The sequence below is a fragment of the Homo sapiens genome, chromosome 1 (genome assembly GCF_000001405.40).
Source record: "Homo sapiens chromosome 1, GRCh38.p14 Primary Assembly".
Lineage (NCBI taxonomy): Eukaryota > Metazoa > Chordata > Mammalia > Primates > Hominidae > Homo > Homo sapiens.
Window position 1 is genome coordinate 231,320,874 of NC_000001.11, and position 11,540 is coordinate 231,332,413.

Here is an 11,540-nt window from a genome sequence, read left to right on the forward strand (position 1 = left end):
TTATTTTTTTATTTTTGCCTTTTTAATAATTTCAACTTTTATTTTAGATTCATGGGGTCCATGTGTAGGTTTGTTACCTGGGTATATTTCATGATGCTGAGGTCTGGGGTATGATTGCTCTTGTCACCCAGGTAGTAAGTATAGTACCCAATAGCTAGTTTTTCAGTGCTTGGCTCCTCCCATCCTTCCCCCTCTAGTAGTCCCCAGTGTCTGTTGCTGCCATCTTTCTGTCCATGAGTACCCAGTGTTTAGCTGCCACTTATAAGTGAGAACATACAGTATGTGATTTTCTGTTCCTGCATTAATTTGCTTAGGATAATGGCTTCCAGCTGCATCCATGTTGCTGCAAAGGACATGATTTCATCTTTTTTTAATGGCTGCAACCTGTTTAAAGTATACAATCAACAGGTTTTGTTATTTTACACTATTAATATATATATATTTTTAATTAGAGACGGGGTTTCACCATGTTGCCCAGGCAGGTCGCGAACTCCTGAGCTCAAGCAATCCACCCACCCCAGCCTCCCAAAGTGCTAGGATTACAGGTATGAGCCACTGTGCTCAGCCCAATTTTTTTCGATTGTGGTAAAATATACATAAAATTTTCCATTTTACGCATTTTTAAATTGTGACATTAATTACATTCACGGTGTTGTACAACCATCACCATTATCTACTTTCAAAACTTTTTCATCATCCCAACAGAAACTCTGTAACAATTAAACAATAACTTCCCATCTAGCTAACTTCCCCCGTCCCCCTGCTAACTTTTTTTTTTTTTTTTTGAGACGAAGTCTTGCTCTGTAGCCCAGGCTGGAGTGCAGTGACGGGATCTCGGCTCACTGCAAGCTCTGCCTCCCGGGTTCACGCTGTTCTCCTGCCTCAGCCTCCCGAGTAGCTGGGACTACAAGTGCCCGCCACCACGCCCGGCTAATTTTTTTTGTATTTTTAGTAGAGACGTGGTTTCACCGTGTTAGCCAGGATGGTCTCGGTCTCCTGACCTCGTGATCCGCCTGCCTCGGCCTCCCAAAGTGCTGGGATTACAGGTGTGAGCCACCGTGCCTGGCCATCCCCTGCTAACTTTTAATCTACTTTCTGTCTGTATGGATTTGCCTATTGTAGAAATTTCATATAAGTGGAATCACACAATATTTGTGCTTTTGTGTTTGGTTTACGTTTTGTTTTTTTTGTTGTTGTTTTTTTTTTTGAGATGGAGTCTCACTCTGCTGCCCAGGCTGGAGTGCAATGTTGCTCACCGCAACCTATGCCTCCCAGGTTCAAGTGATTCTGCTGCCTCGCCCTCCTGAGTAGCTGGGATTACAGGTGCCCACCATCATGCCCAGCTAATTTTTTTGTATTTTTAGTAGAGATGGAGTTTCGCTATGTTGGTCAGGCTGGTCTAGAACTCCTGACCTCAAGTGATCCTCCCACCTTGGCCTCCCAAAGTGCTGGGATTACAGGCGTGAGCCACTGCACCTGGCCTGGTTTACTTCTGTTAGCATTATGTTTTTAATGTTTATTCATGTTTTATTGTATGTCTTTTTATGTTTTTTATGAAACAAAACTACATTTTGTTTCTCCATTCATCTGTTAATGGACACAAGTTGTTTCTACCTTTTGGGTATTACAAATAATGGTGCATGAACACTGCTATATCTGTAGTTAAACATTAAAAAAAAAAATTGGCTAGAGTGGTGGTTCATGCCTGTAATCCCAGTACTTTGAGAGGCTGAGGTGGGCAGATCACTTGAGGTCAGGAGTTCAAGACCAACTTGGACAACATGGTGAAACCCCATCTCTACTAAAAATACAAAAATGTGCCAGGAATGGTGGCGCATGCCTGTAATCCCGGCTACTCAGGAGGCTGAGGCAGGAGAATTGCTTGAAGCCCTGAGGTGGAGGTTGCAGTGAGCCAAGATGGCGCCACTGCACTCCAGCCTGGGTGACGGAGTGAGACTTTGTTTCAAACAAACATTCTGTTAGTAATTCCCCTAGAGATTACAATGTGAACCTTGACTTATTAGAGTATAAATAAGTAGTTTACCTCTTCACAGGCAATGCAAGAACTTAAATCACTTGAATTTTATGTACTTCTCTCCTGACTTATATGTTTTTGTTTTTATTATTTTCTTTTTTAAATTTAATTTTATTTTTAAAGACAACATCTCATTTTGTCACCCAGGTTGGAGTGCAGTGGTGAGGTAGACCACCAGAGGCACTAGCAATCCCAAATTCCCTTGATGTCTCTCTAAAATAATAATTGGTTGCAGTTGGCCCCAGGGAACAGGTGTCTACCACTAGACACAAACACCTGAAACTGATCAGCAGCTTCCCGATAAGATCTCAGGGGTAGGGCAGGTTGGCTCAAGCATGCACCCGAAAAGGAAAAATGGCAGAGTTTAACTGGTATATGACCTTCTAGGGGCATCCCACTGGTAAGGGAAGAATGCCTCAAGGGAGCATGTATACAGCCCCAGTGAACACACTGCGCATGCTCACCTCCCCAGTGCTAGAGGCCACTGCACATGCAGGCAGCCCACTCCAAGGGAACAATCGGGAGAAGGGACGCAAGACCCAGGAAGCATGCCAATGAATAAAACCCCAAGTCAAAAGGTCAGACGGTGCTCTTGATCTCTCAAGTCGTGTCTTTGGCCCTTTTCCAAGCATACTTTACTTCCCTTCCTGCTCTAAAGCATTTTAATAAACGTTCACTCCTGCTCTAAAACTGGCCTCAGTCTCTCCTCCTGCCTTATGTCCCGCAGTCAACTTCTTTTTGTCTGAGGAGGCAAGAATTGAGGTTGCTGCAGACTCATATGGATTTGCCATGGGGAACAAGACCCCACAGGTTAAGGGTTTCAATCCCATAAGACTGCCCCCACTTCAGATGCAGGTCACAAGTCCTGGGGTGTCCCAAAGCCACGTACACTTTTGCCCATCAGGGTATAAATTTGGGGCTTCCCATGACACTCCCTCTCCCTCTCCAAGGTTTGATAATTTCCTAGAATGACTCAAAGAACACAGGAAAGTGCTATATTTATAGCTACAGCTTTTATTGTAAAAGATACAACTCAGGAACAATCAAGTGGAGCATGCATAGGGTAAGATCTGGAGGGGGTGGGGGAAACAGGAGACTGTCCCTGTGGAGTCCAGGTGTGCCATCCTCCCAGTACATCAATATGTTCACCAACCAGGAAGCGACCCAATCCTCGATGTACAGTTCTTATTGAGGTTTCATTACATTGGCATGCTTGATTAAATCATTAGGCAAGTGATAAAATTCAACCTACAGTTTCTCCATCTCTTCTGTGGTGGTGGGGGGAAGCGGGGCAGGAAATTAACATTCCACTTCCATGATTATATGGTCAATTTTCTGGTGACCAGCCCCAATCCTGAAGATATCTAGGGGCCCAAATAGGAGTCACCTTATTAGCATAACAAAAACATCATTCAGGAAATGCCAAGGTTTTTTGAAGTTCTATGCCAGAAACCAAGAAAAAAGACCAGATATATTTTTTATTCTACTGCAGCCTTCAGATATATTCTTTGCATATATAATGTGTAAAGTAGTTCTAATTGTTCTCAGGGAAGGATTGGTCAGAAATGCCTAGGCCACCATAACCAGAAGCAAAATTCTCTTGCTAATCAATAAATCATATTAAATGAAAAAAGAAACAGCAAGAGAAAGAAGAGAATAAGAGAATGAAACACTGGAACAATAAAAAAGTGAATGAAACTGTAGGTAAAAAGAAAATAAACCATGAAGTGAGAAATGATTCTTTTAAAAGGAGAGAAAATGACAGCGGTGGAACAGTACTCTTGAGGCAAAGGTAAAACATTCAACATTTTTCATGATTACAGTTCTGCACCTTGCAAACTTCACTTTCCGCCTCTTTGAGGTCCCATCTTCCTTCGCAACCTAGGTAAGCCATCCAGTGAAATGTTTTTTGGCGATGGCAATGTTCTAAATCTGTGCTGTGCAGTATGGTAGTCACTAGCCACAGGTGGCTACTGGGCACTTGAAATGGGACTAGTGTAACTGAGGAGCTGCATTTAAACTTTCCATTTAATTGATAATTAACTTAAAATTTTTAAAATTGCACGTGGCTTCCATGTTGACAGTGCAATCTTAGAGGTTTCATCTTGTGACACAAGTTAGGAGCTTCTGAAGAAAGAACAGAGCCTCCACCACACCCAAATTCCCATAGCACCTTTCCCAGCTTAACACCACATAGCAAGGGCTGGAACTCTAGAATTGCAGAAATGTGACTAACATTTCCTTTGATATAGCTCAGGGTCTCTGCCTAAGTGTTACAACTCACAATTATGAATGAAAACATGATTTCTTTTTTCCAAAAGAGAAGCCAGGGGAAAAAGTTTTATATAATAACTAGAACAGACATATACAGAACAGTAACACCATCACTATTTGGAGAGATGAAAATGTCCTATATAGTGACTGGGTGTTGTTACATGGAGTAGATCCCTTTTTCAAAATTGGAGAGCTAAGATGTGTTCATTTCAATGTGTGTAAAGTTTATGTTCCAAAAAAATTGCAAAAAATAACCCCAGTGGGGATGGGGTGGAGAGTTGTTAGGTATAGTTGAAATAATAATGACAAAATACTGAGAATTGTTGAAGCTCGGTAATGGGTATATAGGGATTTATTATATCATTATGTTCCTTTTTATATGTTGAAATTTTTCCAAATAAAAAATCTTTAAAAATATGTATTCTCCAAATTAACACATACATATAGAAAAAAAGTGGCAGAAAGACACATTACAAAATGGAAAGAGTAAGTCTTATTTTTAAGACACCACGTGTATTTATTATTTCATGTTTTTAAAGGGTGATATATTCAAGCATTTTCTAAATGAAAATTCACATTTTTCCATCCCTCTCCCCATCTACTCAGTTCTACCTGCTGATACCTGTTCAGAATTTGTATGTAAGTATAAACAAATATTACTTACAATCTTATTTTCTCCTTTTCTACTCCTAAAGTAACATACTATACTATTGTTGTGCACCTTGCTTGCCATTTAACAACATATTTTAGAGATCTTGCCACATCAGTACATACAGGGCACATTCATTTTTAAGCTGCATAGTATTACATTGTATGCATGCACCAAAGTTTATTAAATAAATCTCCTATGGATACACCTTTGGGTAATTTCCAATCTTTTGCTGTGACAAAAAATGCTGCACAAAGTCTGTGAGCCTACTTTGGCTCAGGAGGCTTCCCAATTAAAACTATTTAATTAAAAAGAAAAAATGTTGCAATAAAACATCTTCATAAATCATACACATTTGTTTAATGAACACATTTCATGTATGAAGTACACAAATGTATTTGCAGGATAAATTCCCAGAAGTGGATTTCTGGGTCAAAGAACTACAATTTTGTACATTTTGTAACTTTAATGAATATTACCAATTGCCATCCACAAGAGGTGTGCCAGTTTACAGAATTCAAAATTACAAAATTCCTACCAGCAATGAGAATATGTACACAGATAACTTTAAGAGACTTACCAAGACTGGCTTGACTTGTACAACTTTGTTTAATGTGTTTAGCAAGGTAAACTAATAGATTTGAAACTAAGCCAACTTATTAGGCCAACTGATCAAATACGACATGAGAAAAAAAAACATGCTCTTTTCCTGCAGCTTTCCTATTTAAATGTCACTCACACTCAGTTTTTAGGAATTTCACCCACCTATTGCAGGAGCTAAGTTATTCCTGTCTTAATGCCCAGTGAAGTTTCTGCACGTTTGAGAATCTACTTAGTATTCCCGATTGCTCAGAATTCAGTGATGTACTGATTGGTATTAGTGGAGATAATTTGGTTTTAATTCTCTCATAAACTTCAACTTGGCTACTTTATTTTTTTTTTTAAGGAAAACCACAAAAAATACTCTCTAAAATGTGGTAATACAGTACCTGTACTTTTAACAGGGTACCTAAAATTGTGGATTGATATGACTTTGAAATAAAGATCAATCTGTACTAATGAGGTGTCAACATTATAATATTATAATCCAATAATATAATTCAGTGCCTAATAATACTAGCCTTAGAGGAAGGCTGTCTGAGTTCAGATGTTGCTTGGGTACTTACTTAGGCGACCCTTTGCAAGTGGATTGCTTGCAATTTATTTACCTTCACAAAACTTCAATTCCTTGGTAGCGTTGACATGAAGATTAAATAAAATAATCTGATAAACATGCACCACTGCTAGGAGCATCATCGTCATTGACAAATGATCCCTCCAGTGAGGGCTCACAGATTATTTGTCATAGTTTTTCATGACAAAGATTCTGATTCCTACTAATTGAGAACATCAAGAAAATGTTCTCCGGATATTTACTTAGAAGCACTGATATGAAATATGGTGCTTATACATAATTGTTTAAAGACAGAGTGAAAAGAACATGGGCTTTGGAGTTGAACAGGGTCGTGGTCTTGAATACTGGCTCTGCCACTCAGCAGCAAGACACCGTGGCCAAATAGCAATCCCTCTGAGTCTCTTATCTTTATTTTTATTTATTTATTTAGAGATAGAGTCTCACTCTGTCGCCCAGGCTGGAATGCAGTGGCGAGATATTGTCTCACTGCAGCCTCCTCCCCTGGGTTCGGGTGATTCTCATGGCTCAGCCTCCTGAGTAGCTGGGATTACAGGCACCTGCCACCTCACCTGGCTAATTTTTGTATTTTCAGTAGAGATGGGGTTTCACCATGTTGGCCAGCCTGGTCTTGAACTCCTAACCTCAAGTGATCTGCCCATCTTGGCCTCCGTGAGTGCTGGGATTACAGGCGTGTGCCACCATGCCCAGCCTCTTTCCTTATCTTTAAATGGGCATAGCATCACCTATTTTCCATGGTTAGTGTGAGGATTAAATGAGATAATGTGTGTAAAGCGTCTGGTGCAAGCTAAGCACCAATAAATGAGAACTGTCATTAGTTATTAAAGCAATACATCTAATGGTATTAATTCAATTAGCGTTTATCAATTGTGCTATGCCCAACACTGCTCTAGGGAAGCTGCTGGGAATACAAAAAATGCAAATATTCTCTGTGTGTATAACACATATCTCAATAAATACAGAATACACGTGACATACAAAAACATCTTCCACATCCCATACAAGCACTGATATAGTCTGAAACGGGGATGAGATTCAATAGAATGCCTGTTTATCTCTTTTTGGGAAGAACTTACACTGTCCCGAAGCTTAGAGTGGCTAATTATGGTTTGAAGTGATACAAGTCACCTGTACCATACTGTATTTTTTCATTCTGATTGTTTAGGAATCAAAATAAATGGGAATGTGTCTTACCATTTCAGCATTATTATTATGCTCCACATACCTTTAAAACAAGTCTTTTGGTGAATGATAAAAGCCTGACAAATGTAGTGCACACACAACCACAGACCAATACTGATAATATCAATGCAAAAATCCTAATGAAATATTCATTGGAATTGGGCAATATATTAATAATATATTACAACCAAATAAAACTAACTCATAGAGTGTAACTGTGATTCAGTGTTAAAACTGTTTTAAACACCACATTAATATGGTGGAAGAGAAAAATAATGATTTGCTCAATAAGCGCTGAGAGTCACTTGACAATTCAATATGCATTCCTGAACTAAAGAGATGAAACCCACAAATCTCAGTTAACTGGAATAGATGACCTTTTCCTTTACACGATGATCAAAAGCCAGCATCATGTTTCAAGGCAAAATAGGAAAAATGTTCCCAGGAATACCGAGCAAAAAAATATTATATAACATAGTTTTGGATGTTTAACTTAACGTAGACTATTAAGAGAACTATATAAGATGTATGAAAATGAGAAGAGGTAAAATGATCTTTATTTGCAATTTATATAATTGTGCACTTGAAAACTCCAAAGAACAACCAGAAAACTATTAAAATTCATAAAATAATTAGATAAGGCACTGGTTACAATATTTGTAATTCAAATCAGGATGTTTCCTATGTACAATCAGAAAACATAATGGAGGTAAACATTTCATTCACAAAAGCATTAACAGATGACATGCTTTGGAATAAACACTAAGAGACCTACCTGAAGAAAATTTGAAAATGCCACTGAAATACAAAACACTCGCATATACATGGATAGGAAGATTCAAAATTATAAAGATGTCACTTCTCCCTAAATTAATCTAGAGACTCAGTATGATTTCAATCCAAATGCCAACTCTCTGGGGGGCTGATATGAAATTGTCATACAACTTGAATAATAAACATGAGAATACAGTTGGCCCTTTGGTAAAAGATTGTCATAAAATCATTCAAAATACAACTTGAATATAACTGTGAGAATATAGTCAGCCCTTCATATCCATGGGTTCTGCATCCATGGATTCAACAAAGGAGGGATAAAAAATACTTCAAAAAGACTGTGTCTGTACTGAACATGTACAGACTTTTAAAAATGTCATTATTTCCTAAACAATACAGTATAACTATTTACATAGTATTAGATAGTCTCATCTAAGTAATCTAGAGATGATTTAAAACATACAGGAGGATGTGCATAGGTTATATGTGAATTCTATACCATTTTATACCAGGGACTTGAGCGTCTGTGGATTTTGGTATATGAGAGAGGTCCTAGGACCGGTTCCCCACAGACCAAGGGATGAGAGTACTTTGGAAAAACCTGAGACAGAAGAATGAGACCAGCCCTACCAGTTATTAAATTTCGAAACTACAGTTAACCAAAATAGCTTGGTACTGAACAGAAATAGAAATATCAGTGGCATTTCAAATCAGTGGGGGAAAAGGATGATTCAAAATTGTTGTGAAAATTTGCTAATTATTTGTGGGGAAATTGCATTCTGACATCATCACTTACATTTTTTTTTTGAGATGGAGTCTCACTGTCTCGCCCAGGCTGGAGTGCAATGGCACGATCTCGGCTTGCTGCAGCCTCCGCCTCAGCCTCCCAAGTAGCTGGGATTACAGGCACCCGCCATCATGCCCAGCTAATTTTTGTACTTTTGTAGAGATGGGGTTTCACCATGTTGGCCAGCCTGGCCTCAGGTGATCCGCCCGCCTCCGCCTCCCAAAGTGCTGGGATTACTGGCGTGACCCACTGTGCCCGGCCATCACCACTTACTTTAAAATGAATAATAGATGAAGCAAATTTCAAATATTAAAATATAATAAATTACTAGAAGAAAAACATATTTTTAGAATCTGAGAGTGGGTAAGGCCTTCTTAAGCCTAACCGAAAACAGAAGTCATAAAGAAAAAAACCCAAATAAATCTGGCTTCATAACGGGTTAAAATTTACCATACTATGAAAATAAATAAACGGCTATACAAACAAATGACAAACTGAGAAAAACTACAGCAGTACACATGAAGGGTTAATTTCCTAAATATACAATAAACTCCCACAAAATCACAATACAAATATAATCTAAGAGAAAAGTGGCAAAAGATATAAACAGGAAGCTTAATAGAAAAAGAAAGTTGTTCAACCTCACTCATAATTACATACAAAACTAGAAGCTGGGCATGGTGGCTCATGCCTATAATGGAAGCACTTTGGGAGGCCGAGGTGGGAAGATTGCTTGAGCCCAGGAGTTCAAGATCAACCTGGGCAACAAAGTGAACACCACCCCCCACAACCTCTGCCCTGTATGTATAGAAAAATTTAAAAATTAGCCAGGCAGGAGGATCCCTTGGGCCAGGCCAGGGAGGTTGAGGCTACAATGAGGCATGATAGCACCATCGCACTCCAGCCTGGGCGATACAGTGAGATCCTGGCTCAAAAAACAAACCAACCAACAAACAAAAATGAGAACAACCTAGAAGCTATTTTTTCACAGAGAAGATTAGTAACAATGAATATTATTACTAATAAGATGACTTTTTTTTGAGACAGGGTCTCGCTCTGTCCCCCAGGCTAGAGTGCAGTGGTGCTGTCATGGCTCACTACAGCCTCAACCTCCTGGGCTCAAGCAATCCTCCTGCCTCAGCCTCCCGAGTAGCTGGGACTTACAGGTGTGCGCCACCACGCCCGGCTAATTTTTCTATTTTTTGTAAAGACGGGGGTCTACCTATGCTATTCAGGCTGGTCTCGAACTCCTGGGCTTAAGCAATCCACTCTCCTTAGCCTGCCAAAGTGTTGGGATTACAGACTTGAGCCACTGTGCTTGGCAAGGCTACTCTTAATTAAACAGTGAATGAATACAGGTTTATAAGCATTCATGTAAACAGGTATTTTCCTATACTGTTGGAGAGAACTTAAAAATGATATAACCCTCCTGATGAGCAACTGGTAATGCTTAAATTTAAAATGTAATTTGGCAGAGCAATTTCTAAAAATACATCCCATAGATATATTCGCATAAGCGAATAGGAGGATGTGCATAGGTTTTCAGAATTTTTTTTTTGTAATCAACAAAACTTGAAGCCAACCAAGTAATTGGAAAATGCAAAATTATGATATATTCATTCACTGTGATTGACAACTACCCAATCACAGAAGAAAAACCCAGTGGGGTACAGCAAGAGGTACTGATACGAGATGTCTTAAAACACTGAACTGCTAAGTGACTAAAATCAAGATGCAGAACTGTATGCAGAGTATGATACAATTTCTGGAAAAATATGTACATGAAATTCTTACTAGTAGTTACCTCTAGTGAATGGGATTGTTGGGGGGATGAGGACTTTTATTTTTTACTTTAACTCTTCTGCACATTGCATATGGATTGAAGCTTGCTTTGTAGGCAAATGTGGCTTATTTACGCTTTTCCAAACTCTGCAATTCATCCAGGAAGGTCTCTTCATATGACACCCACATTCCCACTTCTGTGCCTTGGGCTCAGGTCCTACTCTTCCATTTTCTTTGCACATTTAAGTCTTGTCCATTCTTCAAGGACCCGCTCAAATGCCAACAATTCCATGAGAACTTTCTAAACTCCTTAAAAGTACACTGCTCTCTTCCTTCTTGGTATTTCCACTGTACACAGCTGTGCATTTGATTATTCTCTCACTTATATTTGTTGACTTTTTCCAATTTCTAAGCATCTTAAGAGGACGAAGTATGTTTAAAATTATTAAAATTCTTCTGCACTCCCACATTACAGTCAATATGAAGCATAGCATTCAATACTTTTAAATATGTGATAGTTTCCTCAGGATATACATATTACTTTCAAAAGGGCAAGCCTGGCCGGGCATGGTGGCTCACGCCTGTAATCTCAGCACTTTGGGAGGCCGAGGCGGGTGGATCACCTGAGATCAGGAGTTCGAGACCAGCCTGGCCAACATGTTGAAACCCCATCTCTACTAAAAATAAAAAAATTAGCCGGGCATGGTGGCGGGCCCCTGTAATCCCAGCTACTCAGGAGGCTGAGACAGGAGAATGGCTTGAACCCAGGAGGCAGAGATTGTAGCGAGCAGAGATCACGCCACTGCACTCCAGCTTGGGCGATATGGGAAGACTCTGTCTCAAAAAAAAAAAAAAAGGCCAAGCC